Source organism: Homo sapiens, chromosome 22, assembly GCF_000001405.40.
Source record: "Homo sapiens chromosome 22, GRCh38.p14 Primary Assembly".
NCBI lineage: Eukaryota > Metazoa > Chordata > Mammalia > Primates > Hominidae > Homo > Homo sapiens.
The window spans coordinates 42691993-42708076 of NC_000022.11; the positions used below are offsets into that span (position 1 = coordinate 42691993).

Consider the following 16084-nt stretch of genomic DNA (forward strand, 5'->3'; position numbering starts at 1 on the left):
TCCGTGCTGGGCAGGTTGTGAGACCTTGGCAAAGTCACCACCAGTCCACCCAGTGGATTCCCCGTCAGAAGAATGGAGCGGAGGAGGCTGTGAGCCTGAACACACTTCACCAATCACAAGGCCCGAAGTGACAGTCGGTCACTTTTATTCTATTGATTATTCTCCTGTGTTTATAATGCGGGCGGCAGGGTGGGGGTTTCTTTAAAATGCTTCTCCTGAGCCTAAAGAGCCTCCCCACCCAGCCCCTGTCTGAGGGAAGGGGCAGAGCATACACGCCCCCCTGGCATCTCTGGAGAGGAAGAAGGATGGGGTGGGCAGAAGGGGCTGCCCCCAAACGGCTCCCCAGGCTGGCACTTCTGGGCCTCTGCCCCACTCAGTCCCTGTTGACCTCCCCCACCCCCCGCGAAAGAGGAACCAAAACCAGAAAAGAACAAAGCATCCTCCGCCCCGGACCCTTGGGGCTGGGTCTCCCCCAGCCCTGCCACTTTCCTACCAACAGCCTCCTCTCCTCTCTGGGAATCTTGTCCCTTCTTCCCCATCCCCTTAGCACCGGCCTCTGCCCTCGTGGGCACCTCTGTCCCAACTGCCTGGCTTTCCGCACCACCTGGGGGTGCCCTGAGGTTCATCCTTCCTGCCTGTTGTCTAGAAGGCCCGGGGCACTCACTGAGCGCCCTCCGCTGGCTATGGCACCATGTGTCAGCCCTGCCTCGAGACAGGACACTGTCCTCGGGGTGTCCACAGCCTCCCACTGGGCCTGCTCCCACAGCTCCTCAACAGCCTGCCTAAGCCCGGTGGCAGCTCGGGCCTCCCTCTCCCGGGCCCTCAATCTTGCCTCCCCGGGAAGGGCGGCCCAGTGCCCCATCAGGAGCAGGTTGGGGAGGTGACCTGGCGGGCCCCTCACAAGTACATTTTCATGGCCTCGTGCGTCGTGGGGCAGTAGCGGGCATGCAGCTGGGCCAGCAGTGCCCTGGACGTGGCCTCGAACCGCGTGCCCTGGCTCTTCTTGTTCCACACGTGGACAGCATAGGTGGCACTGAGCAGCCGCGGCAGCTCCTCGGGGTTGATGTCCTCAAAGTACTTCTTCCAGTCCTGCCAGGGGATGGGGTAGAAGGCCTCAGGGGGCAGGGTGGTGACGCCGCGGCAGGCGCGGCTCTCGGCCAGGCTGCGGATGGAACACCACTTCTTGAAGACCCGCGTGAGCAGCTGCGGGCCCTGGTGACCCCAGATCCAGCCGTTGTAGTGGTCCACGAAGTCCCGCATGCACAGCGCCATGAACTCGTGCCGGCGCTCGAAGGCCAGGAACGCGCCGTTGAGGACGTAGCGGGACTGGGTGCCCAGCACGTTGGTCAGGTTCCGCAGGTTCTTGAGAACAATGAAGTCCGTGTCCAGGTAGATGCCGCCGAACTTCCACATGAGTGCGATCCTGGAGGCGTCGGAGAGCACGGGCAGCAGGTAGGGCTCCCAGCGCCCCTGCACGGCCGCGTACCAGTCGGCCAGGGGTGTGTCCCGGAACAGCTCCCGCAGGTCCAGCGGGAGCATCTGGACATTCGGGAAGCAGCTCAGAAGTGAGATGCCCAGGTGCCGGGGCAGAGAGGCGTTGCCACCCGGAAGCCCTTTCATCAGGACCAGCACGTGGGATTCGGGGTGAGTTCTGGCGGCCGACTCCACCGAGCACATGAACAGGAAGTTGGGGTTGGTCCGGTCTGAAGTCTCCAGGAAGAAGATGTTGCCTGGAGTGGGGCCGTGGGAGGGTGGGGTGGGGGGTGTCAAGGTGGGGCAGGGGATCTCTGCTGGCAGGTTATAGAGCTGCCCTTTCTCCTTGGGCTCTCCCACAACGTGCCAGTAGATCATGATGGAGACGAAAAACGTGAACTTGAAGCCGATGATGAACAGGGTGCAGACCCGCTGCCTTGGGGCGCCCCGGAGCAGCCGCAGCAGGAGGTCGGGGGGCTTGGACATGGTATCCCCAGATCAGACCAGGAGCTTCCAGCAGGAACCGGCTGGTCTGCAAGAGATGAGCACCCGCCATCAGGGAGGCCGTTGGCATTCCCGATCCACAAGGAAAACGCTTCCTGTGAACATCAGCCAGAGCCAAGGCTGGCTTCCAAGCCCATGGGCTCCTGGGCCCACAGGGGCCAAGGCTTGAACCCCAGCCTGCTGGCTGCTCACCTACGAAATGGGAGCACAGTGGGCCATGGACTGGGGTCTGAGCAGGGTCCCTTCCACTCTCTGCGACACACCTGTGAGCTCACCCAAGGACCAGGCCAGTGCCACCCATGGTGTGTAACCATCACAGGCCCAGGCCAGAGTCTGGTCTGCGTAAGGACTGTCAGAAGTGATGGCTTCGCCATGTGACACACAGGGCTCTGTGAGGATTGGCAGCCTGGGATTTGAGGCCCAGCTCATGCCCGCCTCAGCTCCATAAACCAGGCCTGGGGTTCGTCTAAGGACAGGCCACTGAGGGGCCCTGAGGATGTTCAGCATGAGGTCTGGGGCTCCGGCAGGCCCAGGCGTTGGTTTGCTAAGGGCTGGCCCAGCAGGTGCACTCACAGGGCACTCGCTCCAGGCACATGACGCTGACTGGTACTACTGCCATTAGACCTCTCTTTCCTGGTGGCCAGGAACATGCCCAGGTGCCTCGCAGGTGGTTGGAGGAGCAGCAGGCTTGGACCCTGCTCCTGGGGAAAAGACTGTGGGAACACCTGGGAGGCATGAGACCCCAACTCTGCCTGAACCGGCTGTGTGACCTGGGGCAAGTTACGGAGCTCTCTGAGCCTCAGTCTTCCCACCGACAGGATAGGACGCTGGAACCCACTAAAGGGTAACATTCATTCATTCATAGTTCGATAAATACTGGCTGTCCATCCTGTCCATGCCAGGTGACTTTCTCAGCATCTCACACATAGGAACATGTGTGGCCCCTTATAACCACCCTATGGGGTGGCAATCACCACCCCCACCCTACAGATGAGGAAATTGAGGCACAGAAGTGCAGTACCTTGTGCAGAGTCCCACAGCCAGCAATGACAGTGCAGGGGGTTAGGACCCAGGCCACCTGGCTGGGGTCCCTGCTCTCACCACTGCACCGCCCTGCCTGGGAGAGGTGGCTAGCCAATGTACCTGGTGTGTTGGAGGAACTTGGTGCATGCTGACCTGAACTGTATCGATGTTAACAGCCAGCGGGATCACCATCGACTCTGACTTCTACGCTCCATGACAAAGTCACACCCCCTTTGACCCTCAGCAAGCCCGAGGGGCAGTTGCATCGTTTCTACTTTAGGTGCCAGGAAACCTGGGCATAAAGTCAAGGGACTGGGTGCAACCTGATTGCTAAGGGGAGCTAAGAGTCGGTCCCCTCCCAAGGACAGGCAGAAGGTGGGGTGGCAATCCACATAGGCTGAGGGTGGTACTGGGAGCCTGGGGCTTGGTAACTTAGGCTGGGCCCTTCCCAGGGTAGAGAGCAGGGAACCTCGCTGATGTCACTGGCTGGTAACTGACCAGCCTGGGCAGCCCATTGCAGAGAGGTGGGGATCCTGGCAGCCCACAGGCCTCCGGGAGACACGCCCTGGCTCAGCAGCCGACCTTCTTTGCCAACACGAACACGGCCCTTCCACACACTTGCAGCGGCTGCAAATCCATCTGCAAAAGATGGCAAGAAGAGAGTGAAACAGGTCGCTGGCTCTCAGAGGCCTCGTCCCCCTGGCCACACAGGCAGGTCAGGCCTGGGGCTCATGTGTTCACTGATTCATTCACTCGCTCCACCTCTCAGGGGACACTCAGGGAATAGGGGCAGGCCCTGCACTGGTACCCAGGAGAAGGGGAGAATCAGACACAGCCTTTCCCTAAAGGAGTTCTCAGTCTGGTGGGGGCATCATTTAGAAACAGACAAAGAGGCCAGGCGTGGTGGCTCACTTGAGATCAGGAGTTCGAGACCAGCCTGGCCAACATGGTGAAACCTCGTCTCTACTAAAAATACAAAAATTAGCCAGGCGCGGTGGTGTGCGCCTGTAATCCCAGCTACTCAGGTGACTGAGGCAGGAGAATCGCTTGAACCAGGGAGGCGGAGGTTGCAGTGAGCCAAGTTGTGCCACTGCACTCCAGCGTGGGTGACAGAGCCAGACTCTATCTCAAAAAAAAAAAAAAAAAAGCCAGGCGCGGTAGCTCACGCCTGTAATCCCAGCACTTTGGGAGGCCAAGGTGGGCAGATCACTTGAGGTCGGGAATTCGAGAACAGCCTGACCAACATGGAGAAACCCTGTCTCTACTAAAAATACAAAATTAGCCGGGCATGGTGGCGCATGCCTGTAATCCCAGCTACTCAGGAGGCTGAGGCAGGAGAATTGCTTGAATCCAGGAGGCGGAGGTTGCAGTGCGCCGAGATTGCACCACTGCACTCCAGCCTGGACATCAAGAGCAAAACTCAGTTTCAAAAAGGAAAAAAAAAAAAAAAGAAAAAAGGAAACAGACAAAGATGGTGACTCCCTTGGGGAGGTGACACATGGTTAAGCACCAAGGATGAGCAGGTCAGATGGAGGAGACAGTGGTGGCTCCAGACCTCTGCAAGCACCATGGGAATAAGCATCTAGGGTTCACCTGCATCTTCTCTCCCCGGCACCCAGCTAGGTTCCCAGCACGCAGCAGGCACATGGGAAAATGGCTCACTCTGACCCATTCACTCAACAGCCAGCAGGATGCTTTACAAGTATATCAGCCACGTCATTCTCAGCTCAGACCCTGAATGACATGAGGCCCTGATCCACTGGGCCCCATGTGTCCCCCTGACCTCACGTTCTGCTTCTCTCCCCGCCACCTGTGCCCCAGCCACACCTGGCCGCCTGTTTTTCAGGCCTCAAACGGCTGCTAGGGCCTTGGCACCTGCTGTTCTTCTGCTTGGAGGGTTCTTCTCTCAGATGCCCACTCAAAAGTCCCCTTCCCACCAGGTCCTCCCTGGGCCCCCTGAAATTCCAACTCCCCCCATCACCTCAGAGCCCCCTCGTTTCCTCATCCTTGCATTTATTCTAACACACGGTACATCCTACTTATTTGCTTTGGTTGTCTGTCTAGAACATAACCCCATGAGGATAGGTATGTTTTGTGTTTTGTTCAGCTCTGAAATGGTAGAACGGTGTCCAGCTCTTAGTATGTGGTCAATAAATAGGCAGTGATTCCATGAGTTAACCAATGAGTGAATTAATGAATGATCAGTAAATGAATGAATGAGTGAACGAGTGAGTGACCAGTAAGAGTGAACCAATGAGTGTGTAGATCGCTGTGTGACCAAGTGGGCCAGTGCGAAAGGTGGGGGGCAGAGGCCGGGTGAGCTCCCTGGGATGCGGGTAGCAAGGACAGGGCTGTGGTGTGAACCAAGACATGGTGCCCCCTGCCCCTGTCTTTCTTCTGCAGGGAGAGGGGCTATTTTGGTCCTGAGTACTTTTAACCCCATGTGAACCACGCGGACGGGTGGACAGTTGGAGGGCCAGTAGCAGCAGCAGGAGCCTCTGCCCACTTGGGGGCCCCGAGTGCTGGCATGATCTGACTCCATGGTGTGGGCGGGGTCCGGGCCCACTTGGAGGAGCAGGATATGTCGTCGGACCACAGTTGGGGGTGCCAGACTCAGGCCACGCCATATTTGGTGTCAGAGCCCAAGACCCAGGAATAGAAACTGTGTATGGGGCCAAGTTGGCCGCAGCCCAATATCCAGGTGACCTCAGGCCCAAAGCATGCTCCTGGCCCCCGAGACGGGCCTCGCAGTTGCAGCCTATGTCCTGGACCTTGTCAGCTGGGCCTGGCACACCCCTGCTGCCTGCCCCTGCCTCCAGGCTCACTACTTCCCGCCCTGTCACCAGGGAGCTACTCCCAGTTAGCCTGTTACTGTGGCCACTCCCCTGCTCTAAGCCCTTCCATGGCTCCCATCGCCAGGATTCCCCATGACTCATCTTAGGCAGGAAGTGAGGAGAGAGGAGAGGTGCAGGGCATGGCCGGGCGCGGTGGCTCACGCCTGTAATCCCGGCACTTTGGGAGGCTGAGGTGGGCGGATCATGAAGTCAGGAGATTAAGACCATCCTGGCCAACACGGTGAAACCCCATCTCTACTGAAAATACAAAAATTAGCTGGCATGATGGTGCACGCCTGTAGTCTCAGCTACTCAGGAGGCTGAGGCAGAAGAATCGCTTGAACTCGGGAGGCAGAGGTTGCAGTGAGCTGAGATCGTGCCACTGCACTCTAGCCTGGCAATAGAGCGAGACTCCGTCTCAAAAAAAAAAAAAAAAAATCGAGAGGTGCAGGGCAATGGAGACAGAAGGCCAAAGGCTGGGTCAGACCCCTACCAGCCAGGTTCTTGGCACCAGCTCTGCAGACCCCAACTAGGGGCATCAGCATCAGGGGCTAGGCCCAAGGGCCTAGAAAAGGCCCTCCAAGCTGGTGCTTTTCATCCCTACACAAATTGCACCCCCACCTGTCCCTACAGTAAGGGCGCTACCCCTCCAGCCCTGTGTCCAGCCCAGCTCAGCCTAGCACTGGCCAACCATGACCCAACAAAACGGAGTCCGCACTGAGCCCTCCATCCAGGCTGAGTGCTGACAGAGAGGCTCCCAGAGCACCAGGGTTATGCCCTTGGAGATTCCGATGTCCTGACGGGAACACAGAGGCCCCGAGAGGCAAAGGTGTCAGAGGCGTGTGAGCCAGACCAACACCATCTTAAATAGGAGCTGAGTAAAATGAGGCTGACACCTACTGGGCTGCATTCCCAGACGGGTAAGGCATTCTAAGTCACAGGGTGAGATAGGAGTTCAGCACAAAATACAGGTCATAAAGACCTTGCTGATAAAACAGGTTGCAGTAGAGAAGCCGGCCAAAACCCACCAAAACCAAAATGGCCATAAGAGTGACCTCTGGTCGTCCTCTCTGCTACACTCCCACCAGCACCGTGAGTTTACAAATGCCATCGCAACGTCAGGAAGTTACCTTGGGTGGTCTAAAAAGGGGAGGCATGAATAATCCACCCCTTGTTTAGCATATCATCAAGAAATAACCATAAAAATGGGTAAGCAGCAGCCCTAGGGGCTGCTCTATGCAGTAGCCATTCTTTTATTCCTTTACCTTCTTTTTTTTTTATGAGTCTTGCTCTGTCGCCCAGGCTGGAGTGTAATGGCCCGATCTCGGTTCACTAAAACCTCTTCCTACTGGTTTCAAGCAATTCTCCTGCCTCAGCCTCCTGAGTAGCTGGGATTACAGGCATGTGCCACCATGCCCGGCTGATTTTTTGTATTTTTAGTAGAGATTTGGTTTCACCAAGTTTGCCAAGCTAGTCTTGAACTCCTGACCTCAAGTGATCCGCCCACCTCGGCCTCCCAAAGTGCTGGGATTACAGGCATGTGACACTGCGCCCGGCTCCTTTACAATCTTAGTAAACTTGCTTTCACTTTGCACTGCGGACTCATCCTGAATTTTCTTGCCCCCTGGTGTGAGTGGCCACGACCCTCCTGTCACTCTCGGTCACATCACTCGACATTTCCTTCAATGCCCTTGGTCATGGGCCTGGCCCGGGGAGCTGACTGAGGACTTGGAGAGCCCCATGCAGGGCAAGGGGAGGGCTCTGAGTTCCTGTGAGGGCAAGGGACGCAGGACTGCACAGAGGGAGATGTTGAGCTGTGAGGCTGTCATTGCCACAGGGGCCTCGGCCAGTCCCATAGGAGCTCTGCAGCTGGGGTGGCCATCAGAGATGTTTGTTCCAAACCACAGTCGGGGCTATGATGGTTAATTTCATGTGTCAACTTGACCAGGACACAGGGTGCCCCAATTAAACGTTACTCCTGGGTGTGTCTGGGGGTGTTTCCAGATGAGATTACCATTCGAATGGCAGACTCAGGAAGCAGATGGCCCCCAGTGTGGGTGGGCCCCCAACCCTGAGTAGAAGGAAAGGCTGAGGACGGAGGAATTCGCCCCCGTTCTCCTGCCTCACTGCTGAGCTGAGAGAGGATGTCTTATTTCATCTTCTCATCGACTGGTTCTGTTAATTTGGAGAACCCCGACTAACCCAGGGGCCTACACCAACACTGGCCCGCAGTGGGTCACTGGGGATGGGCTGCTCCCGAGGTAGGGGGCAATCTACCCAGGAGACGGGGGCTCCAGGGCTCAATGGTGGGACCAGATGGGGCCACCGCGCCCAGCGCAGCCCTCGTCCCCTGGAAATGATTGTATGTGTTTTCCGTTGTGTCAGTCCTAAGGGGCAGGGGCTCCTCGCTCTCATTCTGTTCCTGGTGCTGACACAGGTTCAGCCGACAGCAGGAGCTCAACAGATACTGATGAGATGAGGAATGGCCCTCCAGGAGAGCCAGAGGCTATTTCCACTCTTCTCATGTTCTTGGGGTCTCAACAAGAGGGCCCAGGAACTGGAACTCCAGGAGCAAAGCCACGGTCGGGTGGTGGGAGGCCAGCAGCTCATTCAAAGGTGGGAAGTGGGGAGAAGCAGGCCCAGCAGTGGCCAAGGTGGGGCGCATCAGTGACCACGACTGGATACTGCTGTGGCTTCCAAGCCTCTCCAGATAAGGAGCTGGCCCCTGTGCGTGGCCAGGCTGGGGTGTGGCCACCCCTGCTGACCTGTGATTGTGACCCCAGACCCCTGAGGTGTAAGACACCAGCGCCAGGGTCACACGGGTGCTCCCACTGTGTCACCAGCCATGTGACTGCAGTCAGGCCATGCTCCTCCTCGGAGCCTCAGTCTCTCTGCCCACAAAATGGGATTAACTCCACTTTGGAGGGATGGAGGGAGGCAATGCATCTCCAGGGCCCAGCCCACGGAACAGGCCCTCAACAGATGTGGCCACGGCCATCGCATTATAGGCCTTTCCTCCGGCAGGGGAACTGGTGGGTATCTGTGTGCAGAAGTCTCTGATGGGGCTGGAAGTGAAGGACCACTCAGGATAGTGTTTAAGGTCAGGAAGCAGGGACATGCAGCCAGGACGTAGCATGCTCTTTATCATGCTCCCAGTCCCACAGCTGTCACCAACTGGATGGTGAGAGCCTGCCATCCCTGTCCCATGGTCATACTTGCCTCTAGTGGAGCCAAATCGGGTCCCCTCCCCACCCACCTCCACCCTTGCCTGGTCAGACAGGGACCAAGGTGGGCTTCACCCCCAGGGTCTCCCAGCTCGTTGCCTCACGGCTTCCTTCCTGAGCAGGACTTTATGTGGCCAGGCCTGGAGGACAACGGCCTGCACCAACATACCTGAGCTTCCTTCCTGGCCCTGCCACGTGCCCACAAGACAGGCCACCTCTCTGAACCTGTCTGTGGACAGGGGTAACACCAGCACCCAGGACACAGGTTGCTGTGGGGATTAAGTGTGGTCAGGGCTCAGCTGGATCCCAGACTCAGACAGGAGCCCGAGGTGGACCCCTGGCCAGGGTGAGGTAGAAAGGAAACTTCTCCCACTACCTTCTCCAGAGTCCCCATGACCCTAAGGTCACATGTGGCTTTGAACATCACTAACATAGCAGCTCCATAAAGAATGCTCCCGCCGCAGCAGGAGAAAAAGGAGAAAAGTCACATGCACTGCTGTTCTGCAGTGGAGGCAGAGGGGTCATCTAGGTTTACCTACCCTGCACCCATTCATCCTCCTGAGAACACCTGCTGTCCTGTGGGGAGCCACCCCTGCCTGTGGGCCCTGCTCCCTGGCTGTTGCCATAAGCACTGACTCAGGTCCAGCTAATGATAGTACCACATTCCCCTGGCCGCAGTGGTCCGGCTGAGGCACACAGAACCTAGTCAGGTCCAAGCAGAGGTATGTGCTTCCCATGGGGTCACTAGGTGTGAGCCAGGAACCGTCAAGGTAGAGGCTGCCTGGTAATGAAGCCAGCCCTGAGGCAAGCAGAGCCAAGGGAAGGAGACAGAGACCCACGTGACACTGTCATGACACGTGGATCCCACCCTACGTAGTCCACACAAGAGGAAAGGATAGCCCAGAAGTCAATGACGGAACCTTCTGATGACCTCCTCAATCGACCAATGAATGTCTCATCCCCCTGATCAGTGTCTTCTTCCTGCTTTTTCTCCCTGGGACTCCTTGTCCCTCCCCTCTTTCTCTCCCTCCTGCCACTCCAGGTTGGTGTCTCTCTCTCTCTTTCTCTCTCTCTCCTTTCTCTCTCCTCATCCCCCTCAGCAGACACCGGGATGCCTTTCTTGGTCCCTGACCCCACAACATCATATCAGGGGTGGGGCTGCAATGGCAGGAGACAGAGAGGGCCAGGGCCGGGCTCACAGGACTGAAGGCACCTAGATGTGCAGCCGCTGTTGAGGACTTGTGTCCCCCCCCGGAAAAAGGGGCTCCCCCACCAGAGGAACACACTCTTTTTTTTTTTTTTTTTTCACAGATGGAGTCTTGCTCTGTCGCCCAGGCTGGAGTGCAGTGGTGCGATCTCGGCTCACTGCCAACTTCCGCCGCCCGGGTTCAAGCGATTCTCTTGCCTCAGCCTCCCAAGTACTACAGGAGTGCGCCACCATGTCTGGCTAATTTTTTTGTATTTTTAGTAGAGACGGGGTTTCGCCATGTTGGCCAGGATGTTCTGGAACTCCTGACCTCGGGTGATCCGCCCACCTCGGCCTCCCAAAGTGCTGGGATTACAGGCGTGAGCCGCCGTGTCCGGCTGAAACACACTCTTTACCCCCAACTGGCATGGGAGCCCCCTTGCCAGGAAGAGGACACCTGGACTCACTGGAACTGGGTGGTTTTGGGGAGGGGACGTAGTGGGAGACAAAGGGTCCGGAGCCTTCGTGCAGATAAGGTGGAACGCCCACCGGGTTCCTTCACTTGCCGAGGACGCACCTGGTGGAGTCAGGCGGTCCTGGCCCAAATAATGGGGTTGGCAGGTTGTCTTAGCTCAGCCTGACCCCCAGTGAGGGATGCGGGGATTACTCCAGCCAATCCCGGTCCCTGCTCCCCTGTTTAACTTTCAGAAAAGTAAAGGGGCCACAGTGGCACTCAGGCCGGGGTACATCACAGTGTGGTCCGCTGGCCGCAGCACCTCTGCCCTCCACACTGCAGCCTTGGCTGGCACATGCTGCCCTGCTGTGTGTGTGTGTGTGTGTGTGTGTGTGAGAGAGAGCATGCTGCCCCACTGTGTGTGTGTGTGTGTGTGTGTGTGTGTGTGTGTGTTGTCCCCACCAGGCTGTGAATGCCTTGGGGGCAGAGACTAGGCCCAGCCTAGGGCTCAACCACATGTATTAAATAAATAAGTAGTGGGCTTTTTTTTTGTTGTTTGTTTGTTTTTGTTTTTTTTTTTTTTGAGACAGAGTCTCACTCTATTGCCAAGACTGGAGTGCAGTGGCACGATCTCAGCTCACTGCAACCTCTGCCACCCGGGTTCAAGTGATTGTCCTGCCTCAGCCTCCCGAGTAGCTGGGATTATAGGCACCTGCCACCGCGCCTGGCTAATTTTTGTATTTTTAGTAGAGACGGGGTTTCACCATCTTGGCCAGGCTGGTCTTGAACTCCTGACCTCGTGATCTACTGGCCTCGGCCTCCCAAAGTGCTGGGATTACAGGTGTGAGCCACTGTGCCCGGCCTGCAATAAGGAGTGTTTTGCAAACTCTGAAAGTGCAGAACTAGGAAGCTGTCCTTGGCCCACTCAGCAGTGATGTCGGGAAGATGACTTGCAGTGTGACCTTAGACAGGTCACTTTCCTTTTTGGGCCTCAGATTCCCTTCTGCACAGTGCGGGGAAGGGAGGGTGCAGGCTAACCAAATGCTCTAACCTTGGCGGGACACATGGGCACCTGCTGCTAACTGCATGGGATAAGTAACACCTTAGCACAGACCTGAGGCGCCAAGAACTCTGAGGGATCTGGGGCAGAAGGCCACAGAGCCAAGAAACAGCACCGAGTACAGAATTCAAATCCAGGCCCTGCCTGACAGCTTCCGCACCTGCTAAGATTTGGCAACGTGACCTTGGACCCACCTCTGCCCCTCCCTGGGCCTTCACTGCTTTGTCCATCAAAGGAGGGGGTGGGCTCCTTGGTCTTGGAACTCAGACCCCCCTTGATGTGAAAACTCAATGCCCAGAGCTTCCAAACCCTGCTTGGAGGACCAAGTGTCCTGTTCCCCATCCCTAGCCCCACAATCTTTCAAGGCACAAATAAATATAATATTTCTACCCAAGAAGTAAGAATGACAGTTTTTAGGAGGAAGTAATTGGTATAAGAAGGACTGTTTGTGCCCAGGCGCAGTGGCTCATGCTTGTAATCCCAGCACTTTGGGAGGCCAAGGTGGGCAAATCATGAGGTCAGGAGTTCAAGACTAGCCTGCCCAATATGGTGAAACCCCATCTCTACTAAAAAATACAAAAATTAAATTAACTGGGCATGGTGGCACATGCCTGTAATGCCAACTGCTCAGGAGGCTGAGGCAGGAGAATTGCTTAAACCTGGTAGGCGGAGATTGCAGTGAGCTGAGGTTGCACTACTGCACTCCAGCCTGGGCAACAAAGTGAGACTCTGGACTCAAAAAATAAAAAAAATAATAAAAAAAATTAAAAAAAAAAGAAGGGCTGAAGGGCTGTTTGTAAGAAGGGCAGAAGGGCTCTTTTCGGAGCAGAGGTTACAAAATATTCTTCCTCCCAGGCCTTTAACACCTCAGAAGCCAGGAATCAAGCAGGCGGTCTTGCTGTCTGGGTGGACGTTACAAACAGAAAACTCAGGGAGGTGGACTTCATTCCAGGAGGAATAAGGCAGCAGCTTAGTTCTGAATTTTCCCTCTTCTACCAAATTATACAAAGCAACATGGGTAAAGACAAATGAGAGAAACTAAGAGGCAGGGAAAACCCGCAAACTCCCAACCACAGTTGAGTGTGGCCCAAAGCACCTGCGGGCAGCAGACATGGCAATGGGGGGGGGCGGGGGGGGGCGGCGGAGGCGGGGGAGCTCAAGAGTGGAAGACCCCAGAAAAGGCCACTTCTAAAAGGGAGATGGCAGAAGGCATGAGCTACGGCCAGAATGAACTGGGAGTACTCAGGGCTGGAGGCAAGTGACCTCTTGAGACAGGTTAGGTTCTGGAGGTGAAAGAGGAGTGGATGCAGAGAAAGGCCATACTTTAAAAAGCACAACCCATTACCATGGCAACAGAGGAGGGAGCCTTTCACCAGAGAAACCCAGAGAACTGTCCTGGCTTCTCTCCCAATTTCCACCAAAACCTCCTGTTAATTGCCACTCCAGGAAAATTCAACTAATTCAAATATGGAAAAAAATTTAAAGGCATAAAACAAAATGGAAACGGGGGTGAGGAGCACAAATACTCGCTTATATATAAAGAAAATTCACTATGAAAATATTGCCACAGCCGGGCGCAATGGCTCATGCCTGTAATCTCAGCACTTTGGGGGCCCGAGGTGGGTGGATCACTTGAGGTCGGGAGTTCGAGACCAGCCTGGCCAATAAGGGCGAAACCCTCTCTCTACTGAAAATACAAAAAATTAGCTGGGCATGGTGGCGCGTGCCTGTAGTCCCAGCTACTTGGGAGGCCAAGGCAGGAGAATCATTTGAACCCAGGAGGTAGAGGCTGTGGTGAGCTGAGATCGTACCACTGCACTCCAGCCTGGGCGACAGAGATTCTGTCTCAAAAAAAAAAAAAAGAAAAAGAAAAAGAAAAAGAAGAAAATACTGGCACAAGACAAATACAAATTCGAATCCAAAATTACAGCATGAATTTAAAAATAAAAACACTTTAAAAAGTAATTCCAGGCCAGGTGCGGTGGCTCACACCTGTAATCCCAGCACTTTAATAGGCCGAGGCTGGCAGATCGTTTGAGGTCTGGAGTTGGAGACCAGCCTGCCCAACAAGGTGAAACCCCATCTCCATTAAAAATACAAAAATTACAGCCCGACCAATATGGTGAAACCCTGTATCTACTAAAAATACGAAAATTAGCCAGGCGTGGTAATGTGTGCCTGTCATCCCAGCTACTCGGGAGGCTGAGGCAGGAGAATCGCTTGAACCTGGGAAGTGGAGGTTGCAATGAGTCAAGATCGCACCACTGCACTCCAGCCTGGGTGACACAGACTACATCTCAAAAAAAAAAAAAAAAAAAAAGTTGGCCGGGTGCGGTGGCTCACGCCTGTAATCTCAGCACTTTGGGAGGCCAAGGCGGGCGGATCACGAGGTCAGGAGATCGAGACCATCCTGGCTAACACGGTGAAACCCCGTCTCTACTAAAAATACAAAAAATTAGCCAGGCGTGGTGGCGGGCACCTATAGTCCCAGTTACTCGGGAGGCTGAGGCAGGAGAATGGTGTGAACCCGGGAGGCAGAGCTTGTAGTGAGCTGAGATCACACCACTGCACTCCAGCCTGGGTGACAGAGCGAGACTCCATCCCAAAAAAAAAAAAAAAAAAAAAAAGTTTCACCCACTAATCTTGAAGGAGAAAAAGATTTTTAGATTAGATTTCAAGCATAACCTGTAACCTATCTCTATTCTCTATTCAAGAGACATACCTTAAACGAAGTAACTTAGAATGGTTAAAAATATAAGAACAGCCGGGTGCGGTCGCTTACGCCTGTAATCTCAGCACTTTGGGAGGCCAAGACGGGTGGATCACCTGAGGTCAGGAGTTCGAGACCAGCCTGACCAACAAGGTGAAACCCGTTCTCCACTAAAAATACAAAAACTAGCTGGGCATGGTGGCAGGTGCCTGTAGTCCCAGCTACTTGGGAGGCTGAGACAGGAGGATTACTTGAAACTGGGAGGCGGAGGTTGCAGTGAGCCAAGATTACGCCACTGCACTCCAGCCTGGGTGATGGAGTGAGACTCCATCTCAAAAAAAAAAAAATTAAAAAAAGAACAAGCAAAGATATAAAAGCAAATGCAAACAAAATGCTGGGGCAAAAATCTTAATATAAAATGATGCAAAATCACAACAAACCTCACTAAATTAGCCAAAGAAGGGCAATTTATTATGCTAACGGTATAATTCATAATGCATCAAATAATACTGTAGCAATTTTCAGAATAGAAAAATTACAGATACTAGGATAAATATATCAAAACACTAATAAGAGATTTTAATTTACCACTTTCAGTTCAAGAAACATTAAGTAGCATGAACAGAAATAAGAATTCAGAAGACCCAAATAAGATAATCAGTAAGGTACTATAATATTTCAAACTCTCTACCCTAGTGATAGATACTGTGCTTTCTTTTCAAGAGCTGAGCTGATGGAACAGTCATGAAATCTGACCATATTCAGTCCAAAGAAAATGTCAATAACATCCAAAAAATATTTTAAAAATTTATGATTATGAAGCAATATGACTAGAAATTAATTTAAAAATCGGGAATTTTTTAAAAAATTTTATCTATGGGATTCCTAGCAAATAAAAATAATAAAAACACCAGGCTGGGCATGGTGGCTCATGCCTGTAATCCCATCACTTTGAGAGGCCGAGGCAGTCGGATCAGTTAAGGACAGGAGTTTGAGACCAGCCTGGCCAACATGGTGAAACCCAGTCTCTACTAAAAATACAACAAATTAGCCAGGCATGGTGGCACATGCATGTAGTCCCAGCTACCTCGGGAGGCTGAGGCACGAGAATTGCTTGAATGGGAGGCAGAGGTTGCAGTGAGCTGAAACTGCATCATCATTTTCTACCCTGAATGACTGAGTGAGAGACTCTTTCTCAAAATATAACACCACCACCACCAACAAATACCAAAACACCAAGTATCCATATCTACAGGATACAGCTACAGCAATGATCAGGATATTTTTAGCCACCAGTGTATGTAACAATTAAAACAGAAAGGATAAAAATAAATAAAGCACCAGTTTAAAAATGTTAGAAAAAGAACCACAAAATAAAACACAGAAACATGGCTGGTCATGGTGGCTCCTGTCTGTAATCTCAGAGCATTTTGGGAGGCTGGGGTGGGAGGATCGTTTGAGACCAGCCTGGGCACCACAGTGAGACTGTCACTACAAAAAAAAAAAAAAAAGGCTGGGTGCGGTGGCTCACGCCTGTAATCCCAGCACTTTGGGAGGCTGAGCCAGGCAGATCACCTGAGGTTGGGAGTTCAAGACCAGCCTGACTAACATGGAGA

General features: G+C 54.0%; 1 protein-coding gene across 11 annotated transcripts in view, besides 8 other annotated features; it reads right to left on the bottom strand.

Annotated features, from left to right (window-relative positions):
* The window catches only part of A4GALT (alpha 1,4-galactosyltransferase (P1PK blood group)), a 29181-nt gene continuing 13225 nt past the window's right edge, over positions 129-16084 (bottom strand). For 4 of the 11 annotated variants that reach the window (NM_001318038.3, NM_017436.7, XM_006724266.4 and 1 more), the window contains exons 2-3: positions 3499-3639; positions 129-2005 (exon numbers count right to left, since the gene is read on the bottom strand). In NM_001318038.3, the coding sequence (NP_001304967.1) occupies positions 898-1959 (1062 nt within the window). In that variant the 5' untranslated portion in view covers positions 1960-2005; positions 3499-3639 and the 3' untranslated portion in view covers positions 129-897. Of the gene's footprint in view, positions 2006-2550; positions 3640-16084 lie in introns of all 11 variants that reach the window. The other 7 variants (XM_005261648.5, XM_005261647.4, XM_047441412.1 and 4 more) reach the window with 5 other exon arrangements.
* Positions 1065-1586: an enhancer, noted in NCBI's record as "H3K27ac-H3K4me1 hESC enhancer chr22:43089063-43089584 (GRCh37/hg19 assembly coordinates)". NCBI's record gives its function as "activates a minimal SCP1, AML or CMV promoter by ChIP-STARR-seq in primed H9 embryonic stem cells {active_cell/tissue: H9 hESC(primed)}" and the evidence as "EXISTENCE:reporter gene assay evidence [ECO:0000049][PMID:30033119]".
* Positions 1981-2482: an enhancer, noted in NCBI's record as "H3K4me1 hESC enhancer chr22:43089979-43090480 (GRCh37/hg19 assembly coordinates)". NCBI's record gives its function as "activates a minimal SCP1, AML or CMV promoter by ChIP-STARR-seq in primed H9 embryonic stem cells {active_cell/tissue: H9 hESC(primed)}" and the evidence as "EXISTENCE:reporter gene assay evidence [ECO:0000049][PMID:30033119]".
* Positions 2483-2982: an enhancer, noted in NCBI's record as "H3K4me1 hESC enhancer chr22:43090481-43090980 (GRCh37/hg19 assembly coordinates)". NCBI's record gives its function as "activates a minimal SCP1, AML or CMV promoter by ChIP-STARR-seq in primed H9 embryonic stem cells {active_cell/tissue: H9 hESC(primed)}" and the evidence as "EXISTENCE:reporter gene assay evidence [ECO:0000049][PMID:30033119]".
* Positions 6283-6966: an enhancer, noted in NCBI's record as "H3K27ac-H3K4me1 hESC enhancer chr22:43094281-43094964 (GRCh37/hg19 assembly coordinates)". NCBI's record gives its function as "activates a minimal SCP1, AML or CMV promoter by ChIP-STARR-seq in primed H9 embryonic stem cells {active_cell/tissue: H9 hESC(primed)}" and the evidence as "EXISTENCE:reporter gene assay evidence [ECO:0000049][PMID:30033119]".
* Positions 6967-7650: an enhancer, noted in NCBI's record as "H3K27ac-H3K4me1 hESC enhancer chr22:43094965-43095648 (GRCh37/hg19 assembly coordinates)". NCBI's record gives its function as "activates a minimal SCP1, AML or CMV promoter by ChIP-STARR-seq in primed H9 embryonic stem cells {active_cell/tissue: H9 hESC(primed)}" and the evidence as "EXISTENCE:reporter gene assay evidence [ECO:0000049][PMID:30033119]".
* Positions 9019-9702: an enhancer, noted in NCBI's record as "H3K27ac-H3K4me1 hESC enhancer chr22:43097017-43097700 (GRCh37/hg19 assembly coordinates)". NCBI's record gives its function as "activates a minimal SCP1, AML or CMV promoter by ChIP-STARR-seq in naive H9 embryonic stem cells {active_cell/tissue: H9 hESC(naive)}" and the evidence as "EXISTENCE:reporter gene assay evidence [ECO:0000049][PMID:30033119]".
* Positions 10817-11316: an enhancer, noted in NCBI's record as "H3K4me1 hESC enhancer chr22:43098815-43099314 (GRCh37/hg19 assembly coordinates)". NCBI's record gives its function as "activates a minimal SCP1, AML or CMV promoter by ChIP-STARR-seq in primed H9 embryonic stem cells {active_cell/tissue: H9 hESC(primed)}" and the evidence as "EXISTENCE:reporter gene assay evidence [ECO:0000049][PMID:30033119]".
* Positions 15270-15481: a silencer, noted in NCBI's record as "fragment chr22:43103268-43103479 (GRCh37/hg19 assembly coordinates)". NCBI's record gives its function as "represses an EF-1alpha promoter that drives an FKBP-Casp9 reporter gene in an ReSE screen in K562 erythroleukemia cells {active_cell/tissue: K562}" and the evidence as "EXISTENCE:reporter gene assay evidence [ECO:0000049][PMID:32094911]".